Consider the following 16,672-nt stretch of genomic DNA (forward strand, 5'->3'; position numbering starts at 1 on the left):
CAGCTGATTTTAGTATTTCTTATAATTTTGTTAGCATTTTGCGTGCTTTTAGGGGCTTGGTTTTTTTTTTCTTTTTTAATGTGTCTCTCTGTGTGTGTGTGTTTTGTTTTGTTTTTTTGAGACAGGTTCTCAATTTGTCATCCAGGCTGGAGTGCAGTGGCAAGATCATGGCTGACAGCTCACTGCAGCCTTAAACTCCTGGGATCAAATGATCCTCCCACCTCAGCCTCCCGAGTAGCTGGGACTGCAGGCCCGCACCACCATATCCAACTAATTTTTGTATTTTCTGTAGAGACGGGGTCTCCCTGTGTCGCCTAGATGAGTCCGGAACTCCTGGGCTCGAGCGATCCTCCTGCCTCGGCCTCCTGAATGCTGGGATTACAGGAATGAGCCACTGAACCCGGCCTTGTATTATATTATTTATTATTACAATTTTGGCAGATGGTGCTAAGTCTCTTGCCCTAAGAGAGCCATATCATATGATACTTTTCCAACAGATGGCAGTGAAGTGACCTGAGACAGCAGCACCTCCTTTTTTTTTCCAGATGGAGTTTCACTCTTGTTGCCCAGGCTGGAGTGCAATGGCACGATCTCAGCTCACTGCAACTTCCACCTCCCGGGTTCAAGAGATTCTCCTGCCTTAGCCTCCCCAGTAGCTGGGATTACAGGCACCTGCCACCATGCCTGGATAATTTTTTATATTTTTAGTAGAGATGGGGTTTCACCATGTTGGCCAGGCTGGTCTTGAACTCTTGACCTCAGGTGATCCACCCACCTTGGACCCCCAAACTGCTGGGATTACAGGCTTGAGCCACTGCATCCAGCCAAAAGTAGCCCCTTCTCTGAGTTCACCAAGTGCGCCATATGGGCCACAGTCCCAGGCTCAGGACTACAACTCCCAGCAGCCCATGCCTCTCAGAGGCTCTGCCCCACCCTAGAGGCCTCCTGGGAGTTTTGTTCTCCTAGGGAGCCAAGTACCTGGACCTCATCCTGAGGGTGGTGGACCACCAGCGCGTAGGCCAGGGTGTCCTCAGACAGCGGGGAGAAGTTGGCCTGGGCCAGCAGGGGCTCCAGAGCCCGAAGCACCTCCTGCTCATTAGACAGACGCTGGGGATCCGTTAGTGATGGCTGATCGAGGGTCTCCCTGTCAGGGTTGATGGGGTCATATAAGGCCTAAGAGGAGAGTCAGAGAGAAAAAGATGGGATAGGTCTCTGCATGAAGGATTCTAGGGACATCTAAGGACATCCCTCTCCAGATACTTTCATTTATTTATTTATTTATTTATTTATTTTATTGAGATAGAGTCTCGCTCTGTTGCCAGGCTGGAGTGCAGTGTCACGTTCTCCGCTCACTGCAACCTCCACCTCCCGGGTTCAAGCAATTCTCCTGCCTCAGCCTCCCAAGTAGCTGGGACTACAGGCGCACGCCACCATGCCCGGGTAATATATATATATATTTTTTGTATTTTAATAGAGATGAGGTTTCACTGTGTTGCCCAGGCTGGTCTTGAACTCCTGAGCTCAGGCAATATGCCCGCCTCGGCCTCCCAAAGTGCTAAGATTACAGGCATAAGCCACCGTGCCCGGCCTGTGTTTTTTTGTGTTTTGTTTTTGTTTTTTTGAGACGGAGTCTCGCTCTGTCGCCCAGGCTGGAGTGCAGTGGCACAATCTCAGCTCACTGCAACCTCCACCTCCTGGGTTCAAGCGATTCTCCTGTCTCAGCCTCCTGAGTAGCTGGGATTACAGATGCACGCCACCATGCCCGGTTAATTTTTGTATTTTTAGTAGAGAAGGGGTTTCACCATGTTGGTCAGGCTGGTCTCGAACTCCTGACATGTGATCTACCCACCTCGGCCTCCCAAAGTGCTGGGATTACAGGCATGAGCCACCTTGCTCAGCCCTTTTTTCTTTTTCTTTCTCTTTTTTTTGAGATGGAGTCTCGCTCTGTCACCCAGGCTGGAGTACAGTGGTGCAATCTCAGCTCACTGCAACCTCCACCTCCCAGGTTCAAGCAGTTCTCCTGCCTCAGCCTCCTGAGTAGCTGGGATTACAGACACATGCCACCACATTCAGCTAATTTTTATATTTTTAGTGGAGATGGGGTTTCACTATGTTGGCCAGGCTGGACTCGAATTCCTGACCTCAAGTGATGCAACCACCTCGGCCTCCCAAAGTGAGATTACAGACATGAGCCACTGTGCCCAGCAGATTCTTTTCTTATCACACCCATATCCAATCCTCTGGCAAGTTCACTTGCTAAACCCCTGAATCTTCTTGAATCCACCCTCCTCTCTATCTCCTTTGCTGCTATCTTCTCACTGAAGCCACCTTCATCTCTCACTTAAACAATTATGTAGGGCTTCTGTTCCCCAACTTTTACTCTTACTACTTTCTTTTTATTTATTTATTTTTTTGAGACAGAGTCTCACTCTGTTGCCCAGGGTGGAGTGCAATGGCATGATCTCAGCTCACTGCAATCTCCACCTCCTAGGTTTAAGTGATTCTCCTGCCTCAGCCTCCCGAGTAGCTGGGACTACAGGTGCCCACCACCACGCCTGGCTAATTTTTGTATTTTTAGTGGAGATGAGGTTTCACCATGTTGGCCAGGCTGGTCTCGAACTCCTGACCTCAAGCGATCCCCCCACCTCAGTCTCCCAAAGTGGTGGGATTACAGGCGTGAGCCATCGCACCTGGCCTACTCTTGCTACTTTTCAACCAGTATCCACATGGCCATTGGGAAGAACTTACTGAGGCTGTAAACAGCTCCCACAATCCACCCCTCCAACAGCTTCCCACTGTATTTAGAATAAAATCTAGAAGCTTTCCGTGATGTTCAAGTTCCCTCACAAACTGGCATCTAACCTGCCTGCCTCATCTTATGTCCCTAAACGTCCCCCCTAAAAAACTCTTGGAATGAATGTCGCGTGAGTTTCCAGTTGCCTAGCCTATTTTGCTCACGGAGAGACTGAGTCTCAGGATGACATATAACTTGTCCCAGACTCTACAACAGCCTCCAAGGAAATCACCCCTCTATAAAACCAGATCATAAACCTAACCCTCCATGTGTCTCTTGGGAGCAGGGGTCCTATGAAGCAGCTTGTTCAGGCCAGGTGCGATTCTGAATTAGTGGAAGGAGAGAGGGCCGGTTCTCCAAGTGGGAGGAATGGCCTAAGTGAAGGTTTGGTCATGGGGAAGCCCAGGGCCTCAGAAACAACTGAGCAAGGAGACTGGGATGCAGAAGAGATTCAAAGGCCGGCACAGTGGCTCACGCCTGTAATCCCAACACTCTGGGAAGCCAAGGTGGGAGGATCACTTGAATCCAGGAGTTTGAGACCAGCCTTGGCAACACGGTGAAATCCTGTCTCTACAAAACTTTTTTTTTTTTTTTTTTTTGAGACAGAGTCTCGCTCTGTTGCCCAGGCGGCAGTGCAGTGGCATGATCCCAGCTTACTGCAACCTCTGCCTCCCAGGTTCAAGCGATTCTCCTGCCTCAGCCTTCTGAGTAGCTGGGACTACAAGCGAGCACCACCATGCCTGGCTAATTTTTTGTATTTTTAGTAGAGACGGGGTTTCACCATATTGGCCAGGCTGGTCTCAAACTCCTGACCTTGTGATCCACCTGCCTTGGCCTCCCAACGAGCTGGGATTACAGGTGTGAGCCACCGCATCTGGTCTTTTTTTTTTTTTTAATTAGCCAGGCACAATAGTGCATGCCTGTGGTCCCAGCTACTTGGGAGGTTGAGGTTGGAGGATAACTTGAGCCCAGGAGGTTGAGGCTGCAGTAAACCATGATCGTGCCACTCCACTCCACTCCAGCCTGGGTGACAGAGCGAGACCCTGTCTCAAAAAAAAAAAAAAAGAAAAAGAGAAAGAGTCAAGCCAAGAAAATCCTCCTCTGAAGTAAGCCCTAGGGCTGTGCCCACATCCTCCAGCCTAGGCTGGTCGAGCAGTTCTGGGACTTACAGAGTGACCTTGAGAAATTCCATTCCCAGGCTGAGCTGCAGTTTGAAAGCTGGAGAAAGAAATCTGCATTGATCAAATGTCCACTGTGAGCCAGATTCTCTTCTGGAAACTTCACATCCTCCCAGGGCTTTGGGCCAAAAACCTGGACATTGCACGTGATCCCTGTTGCTCCCTTCCCTGTCACAATAAATCCTGCCGATTCCACCTTCAAGCAGACCGCACTTCACCCAGCTCTCTCCTCCCCACCCGCCTGGTCCCAGTCCATGCCAGCCACCACCATTTCATCCTGCCTGGGTGAGCCCAACAGCCTTCTCAATAGTCTCCCCAAATCCTGTAACACACACCATCCCCTGCCAATCGGTTCTTTACACAGCTTCCAGGGAGATCTCGTCAAACAATAAAATAACAACAATCATCATCAATGATAATGGTGCACATTTACATAGCACTTACTGTGTGCCAGGCACAGATTGAAGTATGTTACACGCACATTCTCACAGTGTGAAACTCCTCATTTACAGATGTGGAAACTGAGGCACAGAGAGGTTAAGTAATTGCCCGAGGTCACATGGCCAGGAAGTGGTGTAACCAGAATGACACATTTGACCATGTCAATCTCCTGCTAAAACCCTCCCAAGGCTTCTACTGCCCTCGGGAATCAGGATCACACTTCCTAGTAGGGCCTGCAAGGCCTCACAGGACCGTAAATCCCCTCGGTCACTCCATACCATCCAGACTGTCTTTAGGTTGGCTGGGCGCGATTGCTCATGCCTGTAATCCCAGTAGTTTGGGAGGCCGAGAGAAGAGGATTGCTTGAGCCCAGGAGTTTGAAACCAGCCTGGGCAACACAGCAAGATCCCATCTCTACCAAAAAAAAATACATTTATATATATAAAAATTAGCCAGGCGTGGTGGTGCACACCTGTGGTACCAGTTACTCAGGAGGCTGAGGGAGGTGGATTGCTTGAACCCAGGAGATTAAGTCTATAGTGAGCCATGATCACAGCTTGGCACTCCAGCCTGGGCAACAGAGAAGACCCTGTCTTCAAAACAACAACAACGACAAACCAGATTGGTTTTAGTTCCTCCAGCCACAGAGACTTTGCACATGCTGTTGGAAGACTCTCTCTACACCCTTCCTGCCTCCTTCCCTTTTCACCATTGAAGTCTTACTCTCTGTCATATTCTAGGTCCATCATCACTATCAAAAAGCCTCGGACAGGGGCAGTGGCTCACGCCTGTAATCCCAACACCTTGGGAGAACAAGGCAGGAAGGACTGCTTAAGGCCAGGAGTTCAAGACCAGCCTGAGCAACGCGGTGAAACCCCATTGCTACTAAAAATACAAAAAATTAGTTGGGCATGGTGGCGGGCGCCTGTAATCCCAGCTACTCCGGAGGCTGAGGCATGGGAATCACTTGAACCCTGGAGGTGGAGGTTGCAGTAAGCTGAGATCGCACCAACTGCACTCCAGCCTGGACAACAGAGTGTGTCAGTGTGTGAGTCTCTGGCTCAAAAAAAAAAAGCAGCAGCCTTCCTCTACTCATCAAACTGAGCAGGGCCACCCTGTGTGGTTGGGCAGGATGTACACTGCACAAAGATACCAGATCTAAGGGCAGACCTGTCCATTTATCATGACAGCCACCCTTCAGATGGAAATAAAGGAACAGAATAGCACCATCCACTAGAACTCCCTGCAGTGAGGGAAATATTCTAGATCTGCACCATCCAATAAGGTCGACACTGGCCATAGGTGGCTACTGAGCACCTGAAACATGATCAGTATGCTGAGAAACAAAATTTGTAATTTTGTTTTAGTTATGTTAAATTTTAACAGCTAGTGTCTACATTTAATTTTTTTTTTTTTTTTTTTTTGAGACAGAGTCTCACTCTGTCACCCAGGCTGGAGTGCAATGGCGCAATCTTGACTCACTGCAACCTCCGCCTCCCGGGTTCAAGTGATTCTCCTGCCTCAGACTCCGGAGTAGCTGGGATCACAGGAGCCCGCTACCATGCCAGCTAATTTTTTTTTTTGTTGTACTTTTTTTTAGTAGAGACGGGGTTTCACTATGTTGGCCAGGCTGGTCTCGAACTCCTGACCTCATGATCCACCCACCTCGGCCTCCCAAAGTGCTGGGATTACAGGCGTGAGCCACTGCGACCAGGCTACATTTAAATTTAATGAAGTTCGTGGCTACTATAACGGACAGTTCCAGGCTAGAGAAAGAGGCACCTTTTTCTAATTTGCACATGGACCCCAGTATAGCAACCAAGGTTCAGGTTCACTCTGTTATCCCCCTGCAGGGCACCATGCCCATCGCCCTCATGGTCTGAACTTAACCATCACTGGGGAGAGCATCTGATTCATGACCGTCCCCACCACCCACGTTCAGCTCCCAGAGCGCACGATGCAGGCCCAGTTTCACTCCTCAGTGAAGACACAGCACCTGGCACCGGGCCTCGCACAAACATCTGCTAAAAGAATGACTTAATTGGTGCCGGGCACAGTGGCTCACGCCTGTAATCCCAGCACTTTGGGAGGCTGAGGCAGGCGGATCATTTGAGGTCAAGAGTTCGAGACCAGCCTGGCCAACATGGTGAAACCCCGTCTCTACTGAAAATACAAAAATTAGCCAGGCATGGTGGTGCGCGCCTGTAGTCCCAGCTACTTGGGAGACTGAGGCAGGAGAATTGCTTGTACTCAGGAGGCGGAGGTTGCAGTGAGCCAACACAGTGCCACTGCACTCCAGCCTGGGAGACAGTGAGACTACATCTCAAAAAAAAAAAAAAAAAAAAAAAAAAGAATGACTTAATTGGGTCTTTGTGGCAATTGCTGCTGCCATATTCCACCATCAAGCATTCCCTTGTGGCTGTCACATGCCATCTGTCTACTGAGGACTCCCAGATTTCCATCTGCAGTCCAGATATCTCGCTTGAGCTCCAGATTCACACGGCTGGGCGTCTACTCAATACTTCCATACAGATGCCCCATGGGCCTCTCAACACCTCCGCAAGGGCATCCTCTCAAACCCACGATGCCCCAAACCTGCTCCTCTCAGCCTTGTCCCCATCTCAAAAGATGCAACTCCATCCTTCCAGGTGCTCAGGCCCAAAGCCTGGGGGTCATCCTGGAGTCTTCCCTTTCTCACACATCCAACCCATTGGCAAATCGTGATGGTAACACATTCAAAACAGATGCAAAATCTAACTGCTTCTCAACCCTTGGTCTCAGCCACCCTCCTCCCTGGCCTGGGAGCTGTTCTCCCCGCCCCGTCCCCATCCCCAGTGGGTTCCCCAAGCAGCCACCAGAGGGCGCCAGTTTGCACCTACAGCAATTCCAGTCTTTGCTTAGAACACTCTGCTTAGCCACCGACCCACTCAGTCAAAGCAAAGTCCTCACCACCGCCCAGGGGGGCCCTGCAAGATCTGGCCCCAGGTCCCCCTCCCTCTGCCCTCACCTCCTCTCTCTTCCCTGGGTCGCCAGGCTCTAGCCCCGCAGGCCTCCTGGCTGTTCCTCCACACACCATGCACACTGCTGCCCCAGGGCCTTTGCACGTGGAGTTCCCTCACATCTCCATAGGGCTTGCTCCCCTCTCCTTCAGGTCTCTGCTCAAATGTTCTCTGCTCAGTGAGGCCTTCCTGACCACCTTACCTGAAACTGAAAAACACCCCCTCCCTTGCTTTCCTTTTCTCCTTATTAGGTTTTGAAAAAAAGAAAAATACAGTCATCCCTTGGTATCCATAGGACATCAGTTCCAGGATGTCCCATGGATACCCAAACCTACAGATGCTCAAGCCCCTGATATAAAATGACATGTCTGCAGCCGGGCGCGGTGGTTTACGCCTGTAATCCCAGCATTTTGAGAGGCCGAGGCGGGCGGATCACGAGTTCAGGAGATCAAGACCATCCTGGCTAACATGATGAAACCCTGTCTCTACTAAAAATACAAAAAATTAGCTGAGCGCGGTGGTGGGCGCCTGTAGTCCCAGCTACTCGGGAGGCTGAGGCAGGAGAATGGTGTGAACCCGGGAGGCGGAGCTTGCAGTGAGCCGAGATCAAGCCACTGCCCTCCAGCCTGGGTGACAGAGTGAGACTCTGTCTCAAAAAAAAAAAAAAAACACCATATCTGCATATAACCTCTACACATCCCCTCATATACTTTATTTTTATTTTTTTAGAGACAGGGTCTAGCCCTGTCCCCCAAGCTGGAATGCAGTGCTGCAATCATGACTTACTGCAGCTTCAACCTCCCAGGCTCAAGCGATCCTCCTGCCTCAGCCTCCCAAGTAGCTGGGACCACAGGTGTGTGCCACCACGCACAGTTAATTAAAAAAAAAAAAATTATGGAGGCCGGGCACGGTGGCTCACACCTGTAATCCCAGCACCTTGGGAGGCCGAGGCGGGCGGATCACTTGAGGCCAGGAGTTCCAGACCAGCCCGGCCAATATGGTGAAACCCCGTCTCTACTAAAAATACAAAACCTAGCCAGGCATGGTGGTGCACACCTGTAGTCCCAGCTACTCAGGAGGCTGAGGCAGGAGAATCACTTGAACCCAAGAGGCAGAGGTTGCAGTGAGCCAAGATCACACCACTGCACTCCAGCCTGGGCGACAGAGCAAAAATCTGTCTCAGAAAAAAATATATATATATTTTGTGGAGACAGAGCCTTACTATGTTGTCCAAGCTGGTCTCAAACTCCTGTCCTCAAATGATCCTCCCACCTCAGCCTCCCAAAGTGTTAGAGTTACAGGCATAAGCCACTGTGCCTGGCCACGTATACTTTAAATAATCATCTCTCTCTAGATTACTTATAACACCAAATACAATGAAAACATTATGTAAATAGTTGTAATGCTACATTGTTCAGAGAATAATGACAAGGGAAAAAAAGAGTCTGTACATGTTCACTACTGATGCAATTTTTTTCCCAAATATTTTTTATCCACAGTTGGTTGAATTCACAGATGCAGAACCCATGGATATGGAGGGCTGACTGTGCAGGACACCACTTACATCTGAATTTCAGATCAACGACAAACTTTTTTTTTTTTTTTAAACGGGGTCTCACTCTGTTGCCCAGGCTGGAGTGCAGTGGTGTGATCTCGGCTCACTGCAACCTCTGCCTCCTGGGTGCAAGCGATTCTCCTGCCTCAGCCTCCACAGTAGCTGGGATTACAGGCGCCAGCCACCATGCCCAGCTAATTTTTTTTTTGTATTTTAGTAGAGACGGGTTTTCACCAGGTTGGCCAGGCTGGTCTCGAACTCCTGACCTCAAGCAATCCACCCGCCTTGGCCTCCTAAAGTGCTGGGATTACAGGTGTGAGCCACCATGCCCGGCCCAACAACAAACGATTTTTTTAGTTTAACTACATCCCATGCAATATTGGATGACTGTATTGCATAGGACACACTTCCACTGTACTAAAAAATTACACATAGTTTATCTGAAATTCAAATTTACTGGGTATAATGAGTTGAATGTTGTCCCCTAAAAATTTACATCCCTTTGGAACCTCAGAATATGATCTCATTCGGAAATAGGGTCTTTGCAGGTAGAATTAAGGTAAAGATACAGATGAGATCATACTAAATTAGGGTGGAACCTAAATCCAATGAGAGTGTCCTTATAAGAGACAGAAAAGGACACACATAGGACACCGAGAAGGCAGCCACAGGAAGATGGAGACAGGGGTTGGAGTGACTCATCTACAAGCCAAGGAGCACCAAGGGTTGCTGGCAGCTACAGGAAGCCAGGAGAGACACCATAGATGCTTCCCTCTCAGGGCCTCCACAAGGAAACATCTTTTAATACATTTCACTTCTTTTTTTTTTGAGACATAGTCTCACTCTGTTGCCCAGACTGGAGTGCAGTGGTGCGATCTTGGCTCACTGCAGCCTCCGCCTCCCGGGTTCAAGTAATTATCCTGCCTCAGCCTCCGGAGTAGCTGGGATCACAGGCATGTGCCACCACACCCAGCTAATTTTTGTATTTTTAGTAGAGTCGGGGTTTCACCATGTTGGCCAGATTGGTCTCGAAATCCTGACCTCATGTGATCCACCTGCCTCGGCCTCCCAAAGTGCTGGGATTATAGGCGTGAGCCACCGCGCCCAGACTTTTTCTTTTTTTTTTTTTTTTTTGAGACATAGTCTTGCTCTGTCACCCAGGCTGGAGTGCAGTGGTGCGATCTCAGCTCACTGCAGCCTCCGCCTCCTGGGTGCAAGTGATTCTCCTACCTCAGCCTCCCGAGTAGCTGGGACTATAGGCACCCGCCACCACACCCAGCTAATTTTTGTATTTTCAGTAAAGATGGGGTTTCACCATGTTGGCCAAGCTGGTCTCGAACTCCTGACCTTAAGTGATCCGCCCACCTCGGCCTCTCAAAGTGCTGGAATAACAAGCGTGAGTCACTGTGCCCGGCCAAATTTCACTTCTGTACCTTGTTGCTGGTCTCTTCCTCAGTAGAACAGAGCCTGTGAGGTACATCTCTCATGCTGTCCACTGTCTCCCAGAGCCTCAAGCCATTCCAGAGACACAGTAGGTGCTCAATAAATATTTACTGAGCGAACTCAATGAATGAATGAATCAGCGAAAAAAGATCAGAGAGAGGTCACCCGCCAAGGTCACCCGCACCACTAGTGAACAACCAAGCTATTGTTTGAACCGAGGCTATGCTGCTTCTTTCCCTGCCCAGGCCACATCTTCAAAGGACTTAAGTCATCAGCAAATGGTCACCCAGCGGGCCTCACCCGCCTCTGCCACTTCTACCCTGCCCCTGCCTCTGTTTAAAATCTCCTGCCTGGGAGATATATGCTTATTCACTTATGTTCTTTCTACATTTCTATATATTTATACATTTCTATAATAAAATAGGCTTTTTTTAACTTTTTTTTTTTAAGAATCTTGCTCTGTCACCCAGGCTGGAGTGCAGTGGCGTGATCTTGGCTCACTGCAACCTCCACCTCCCGGGTTCAAGTGATTCTCATGGTTCAAGTGATTCTCATGCCTCAGCTTCCTGAGTAGCTGGGACTACGGGCACCCCCCACCACAACCGACTGATATTTATATATTTAGTACAGACAGTTTCACCGTTTGCCAGACTGGTCTCGAACTCCTGGGCTCAAGTGATCCGCCTACCTCGGCCTCCCAAAGTGCTCAGATCACAGACAAGACATACCAAGCCCAGCCTTAACTTTTAAAAAAATAGAAAAAGAAAAAAACAACCGTGGCTCCAGAGGCCATAGGTGCCCTGTGGAAGAGCTTGGAGGCAGGCAGACGGGGGCTTGATCTCGACTCCACCAATTATGAACTGTGTGATCCTGGGCACAACCCGGGCCCTCTGAGACATTCAGTTTCTCCATGTATGAATGGGCTGATGGCGGCTGTCTCTCCGCACTGCAGGAAGGAGTCAATAAGCCAGACACAGCAAGCGCTCAGCAACAAGGGGCTGTGATGGCCACTGTTGCTGGGGTTGTTATTATTCAAAGCAAAGTGCGGAGCTGCAGAAGGCAGTGGTGGGATGTGGCGAGGGGTGAATGCAGCAGGCCTGGGTTGTCCAAACCCCGCACATTCCAAAGAAAGGACCGGCCCTGGACCAGCTTCTGGGAGGGAACCTCTAAGCCCTTGGAATGTCCTGACTGATAAGAGTGTCTTGGTTTACCTGGGGCCTGGGGCCACACTGGATGCTGTGTGTTAATGTTGTCATCTATGGTCAGGGCCTGGAGCCACTGAGCATCAGTTTGACCTCGGAGGGGCTGGAGTCTCAGGTCAGCCACCATGCATATGTGACTGACCCCCAGTAAAAACCCTGGCCACCCAGGCTTACAGGAGCATCCCTGGTTGGCAGTACTGCTTGCGTGTTGTCACACATCTTGCTGGGAGAATTAAGTGCCGTCCATGACTCCACCGGGAGAGGACAGCTGGACGCTCACGCCTGGTCTGTCTTGGATTCTGCCCCATGTGCCTTTTTCCTTTTTTTTTCTTTTTTTTTTTTGGGATGGAGTCTCACTCTGCTGCCCAGGCTGGAGTGCAGTGGCACAATCTCAGCTCACTGCAACCTCCGCCTCCTGGGTTCAAGTGATTCTCCTTCCTCAGCCTCCTGAGTAGCTGGGATTACAGCTACTGGGATTACAGCGCCACTATGCCCAGCTAATTTTTGTACTTTTAGTAGAGACAGGGTTTCACCATGTTGGCCGGGATGGTCTCGATCTCCTGACCTCGTGATCTGCCAGCCTTGGCCTCCCAAAGTGCTGGGATTACAGGCGTGAGTCACCACGCCCGGCCCTCCTTTTTTTTTTTTTTTTTGAGACAGAATTTTGCTCTGTCACCCAGGCTGGATAGTGCAGTGGCAAAATCTCAGCTCACTGCAACCTCCGCCTCCTGGGTTCAAGCGATCTCCTGCCTCAGCCTCCCAAGTAGCTGGGATTATAGACATGCGCTACCAGGCCCAGGTAATTTTTTTTTTTTTTTTTTGAGATGGAGTTTCACTCTTATTGCCCAGGCTGCAGTGCAATGGTGCGATCTTGGCTCACTGCAACCTCCTCCTCCCAGGTTCAAGCAATTCTCCTGCCTCAGCCTCCCGAGTAGCTGGGATTACAGGCATGCACCATCACACCCAGCTAATTTTGTATTTTTAGTAGAGACGGGGTTTCTCCATGTTGAGGCTGGTCTCGAACTCCTGACCTCAGGTGATCCGCCCGCCTCGGCCTCCCAAAGTGCTGGGATTACAGGCGTGAGCCACAGCACCTGGCCTTTTTTTTTTTTTTTTTTTTTTTTTTTTTGAGATGGAGTCTCACTCTGTCACCCAGGCTGGAGTGCAGTGGCGCGATCTCGGTTCACTGCAAGCTCCGCCACCTGGGTTCAAGCGATTCTCCTGCCTCAGCCTCCTGAGTAGCTGGGATGACAGGCACATGCCACCACACCTGGCTAATTTTTGTATTTTTAGTAGAGACGGGGATTCATCATGTTGGTCAGGCTGGTAATTTCTGTATTTGCAGTAGAGACAGGGTTTCGTCATGCTGGCAAGGCTGGTCTCGAACTCCTGACTTCAGCTGATCCACCTGCTTTGGCCACCCAAAGTGCTAGGATTACAGGCGTGAGTCACCGCGCCCGGCAGTACTACCATCTATTAATAGATCCTCCCACAGCAGTTTCTCAGCCCAGACCTCTCCCTTCACCTCCAGATCCACATATTCAAGTCTATCTTTCTTTTTTTTTTTTTTTTTTTTTCTGAGACGGAGTCTCACTCTATCGCCCAGCTGGAGTGCGGTGGCGCAATCTTGGCTCACTGCAAGCTCCGCCTCCCGGGTTCACGTCATTCTCCTGCCTCAGCCTCCCGAGTAGCTGGGACTACAGGCGCCCGCCACCACGCCCGGCTAATTTTTTTTTGTATTTTTAGTAGAGACAGGGTTTCACCGTGTTAGACAGGATGGTCTCGATCTCCTGACCTCATGCTCCGCCTGCCTTGTCCTCCCAAAGTGCTGGGATTACAGGCATGAGCCACCACGCCCGGCCTCAAGTCCATCTTTCTACCTGCCTTTCTAAAAGGCAGCTCAATGGATAAAGAAAATATGGTCTATATACACCATGGAATACTACTCAGCCATAAAAAGGAACAAAATAATGTCTCTTGCAGTAATTGGATGGAGTTGGAAGGCCATTATTCTAAGTCAAGTAACTCAGGAATGGAAAACCAAATAGCCGTATTCTCACTTTATAAGTGGAAGCTAAGTAAGCTATGAGGGTGCGAAGATACACAGAGTGATATAATGGAATTTGGGGACTCAGGGAGGGGGGTTGGGATGGGGGTGAGGGACTACATATTGGGTATAGTGTACACTGCTCTAGTGATGGGCACACCAAAATCTCAGAATGCACCACTACAGAATTCATCCATGTAACCAAAAAGCACATGTACCCCAAAAACTACTGAAATAAAAAATGTTTTAATTAAAAAAGAATGGGCCAGGCACGGTGGCTCACGTCTGTAATCCCAACACTTTGGGAGGCCAAGGCAGGTAGATCACGAGGTCGGGAGTTTAAGACCAGCCTGAGCAACATGGTGAAACCCCATCTCTACTAAAAATACAAAAATTAGCCAGGCGTACTGACACACGCCTGTAATCCTGGCTATTCGGGGGACTGAGGCACAAGAATCACTTCAACCCGGAAGACAGAGGTTGCAGTGAGCCAAGATCGCACCATTGCACTCTAGCCTGGGCAGCAGAGTGAGACTCTGTCTCAGAAAAAAAAAAAAATATATTAGAATAAATAAATTCATAAATAAATGGTAGCTCAAATTCTTAAGTCCAAAACTGAGCTCTCAGTCCTCCCTGCAGATCTTTCTCCCCATCCCACCACGGTCTCCCCCATCCCAGTAAATGGCAGCTCCATCCTCCAGGAGGCTCAGGCCAGAACTGCTGGAGACGCACCCCTACTCCTCTCTCTTCCTCCCCAGAACACCCCCACAGCCAGCACATCAGCAAAACGCTGATGCCTTCCAACATAACCAGCATCTGACCGTTTTTCACCATTTCCATCGCTATTACCCTTGTCGGAGCTTCCATTATCTCTCCCCTAGACAAATATAATAGACTCTTTCATAGATGTCCCTGCCTCTGATAGTCTGTTCCCTACACTGCAGCCAGAGAAATCCTGTTAACACCTAAATCCGCTGCTCACATCTCTCCTCAGCTCAGAGCCCTCCCATGGCTCCCGGCTCACTCAGAGTCAAAGCAAGGTCCTCGGCCTGGCACAGTGGCTCACGCCTGTAATCCCAACACTTTGGGAGGCCAAGGCGGGTGGATCACTTGAGGTCAGGAATTCAAGACCACCCTGGCCAACATGGTGAAACCCAGTCTCTACAAAAAGTACAAAAATTAGCAGGGGGAGGTCGTGGACGCCTGTGGTCCCAGCTACTCAGGAGGCTGAGGGAGGAGAATCGCTTGAACTGGGGAGGCGGAGGTTTGCTGTGAGCTGAGATCGCACCACTGCACTCCAGCCTGGGCAACAGAACAAAAACTCCATCTGAGAAACAAAAACAAACAAACAAAAAAACAAAGCAAGGTCCTCACAGTGGCCCACAAGGCCCAGTACGATCTGTCCCCATCCCCTCTGCCCTCATATCCCACCCTCCCCGCACATTCACTCTCCTGCAGCCACAGTGGCCTCCTCACTGTTCAATACTCCAGGCCTCCACTCACCTCAGGGCCTTTGCACTTGCTCTTCCATCTGCCAAGAACATCCTCCCCCAGGCATTCATCAGGCTCGTTCCCCCTCTTCACTAAGCCTTTAGCCCACATGTCACCTCCTTGGGGAGCCCTTCCCCACCCACCCCGTCTGAAACAGGCCCCATCTCACCCCTCTTTGTTTTTTTTTTTTTTTTGAGACAGAGTTTCCTCAGTCGCCCAGGCTGGAGTGCAGTGGCGCAATCTTGGCTCACTGCAAGCTCCGCCTCCCGGGTTCATGCCATTCTCCTGCCTCAGCCTCCCGAGTAGCTGGAACTACAGTCGCCCCCCACCACGCCCAGCTAATTTTTTTGTATTTTTAGTAGAGACGAGGTTTCACCGTGTTAGCCAGGATGGTCTCGATCTCCTGACCTTGTGATCCACCCGCCTCAGCCTCCCAAAGTGCTGGGATTACAGGCGTGAGCCACCGCGCCCGACCCATCTCATCCCTCTTTATCTCACTACTCCGCCTCATTGTTCATGGCACTTATCACCACCAGGCATCATATTTTATATTTATTTGATTCCTTGTCTCCCCACTTGGAATGTTGGCTCCATGAGGGCGTCACTTCACCTGTCATGTTCACTATTGAATCCCCAGCACTTAAAATAAGGGCCAGGCTCCAAGAAGGTGTCAGGGAATGTTTGCTAAATGAGCGGATGCTCGAACAAGCACCACAGGGCTGGAAGGGCCCCGTCCTCACCTGCAGCCGGGCCAGGATTTGGTGGTAGTGGAACAGGGTGCAGAAGTCCACGTGGGCCGAGAACGCCTCCAAAGCCGCCTTCTCTGCCGGACTCGAGTGGAATTCCTGTTACCTCAGGAAGCAAAACTTCTCTGTAGGCCTTTTCCCCTTCCCCGAGGGAAAGAATTCTTTCCCTGGCTGCCTAACTACACAATCAGAGCTCTGGACTTTGAAGTTTTGTTCTGGGGCTGGGCGCAGTGTCTCGCACCTGTAATCCCAGCACTTTGGGAGGCCGAGGCAGTGGATCACTTGAAGTCAGGAGTTCAAGACCAGCGTGGCCAACATGGTGAAATCCTGTCTCTACTAAAAATACAAAAATTAGCCGGGCGTGATGGCATGCACCTGTAGTCCCAGCTACTCAGGAGGCTGAAGCTGGAGAATTGCTTGAACCAGGGAGGCGGAGGCTGCAGTGAGTCGAGATCGTGCCACTGCCCTCCAGACTAGACAACATCAAGACTCTGTCTCAAAAAAAAAAAAAAAAAAAGTTTTGTTTTGGTTGGGTGGGGGCTGACCAATTTTACTGAAACTGAGGCAGCCAAATATAGTGAAAAACTATACTGGGCTTAAAAAGCTGGAGGTTCAAGTTTTTGCTTTGACATTTCCTAGCCAATACACACACACACAATTCCAGGAACGGTTTGACAGTGTAATATCATCCTCCAGAAGTAGATGGAATTATTATTATTATTATGTTGAGACAGAGTCTCGTTCTGTCACCCAGGCTGGAGCTCAGTTGTGCAATC

The 16,672-nt window shown here is 50.0% G+C and overlaps 1 protein-coding gene across 5 annotated transcripts in view; it reads right to left on the minus strand.

Moving 5' to 3' along the window:
- Positions 1-16,672, minus strand: part of TMEM143 (transmembrane protein 143) — a 31,585-nt gene that overhangs the window by 11,826 nt on the left and 3,087 nt on the right. For 2 of the 5 annotated variants that reach the window (NR_130317.2, NM_001303538.2), the window contains one exon: positions 979-1,173. The exons of 1 other annotated variant lie outside the window; for it this stretch is intronic. Coding sequence is in view for 3 of the 4 variants with exons in the window: in NM_001303538.2 (NP_001290467.1) it covers positions 979-1,173 (195 nt within the window). In the remaining variant the exon portion in view is untranslated. Of the gene's footprint in view, positions 1-978; positions 1,174-15,890; positions 15,996-16,672 lie in introns of all 5 variants that reach the window. 2 more of the 5 variants (NM_018273.4, NM_001303539.2) reach the window with 2 other exon arrangements.

Source organism: Homo sapiens, chromosome 19 (assembly GCF_000001405.40).
Source record: "Homo sapiens chromosome 19, GRCh38.p14 Primary Assembly".
NCBI classification, from domain to species: domain Eukaryota; kingdom Metazoa; phylum Chordata; class Mammalia; order Primates; family Hominidae; genus Homo; species Homo sapiens.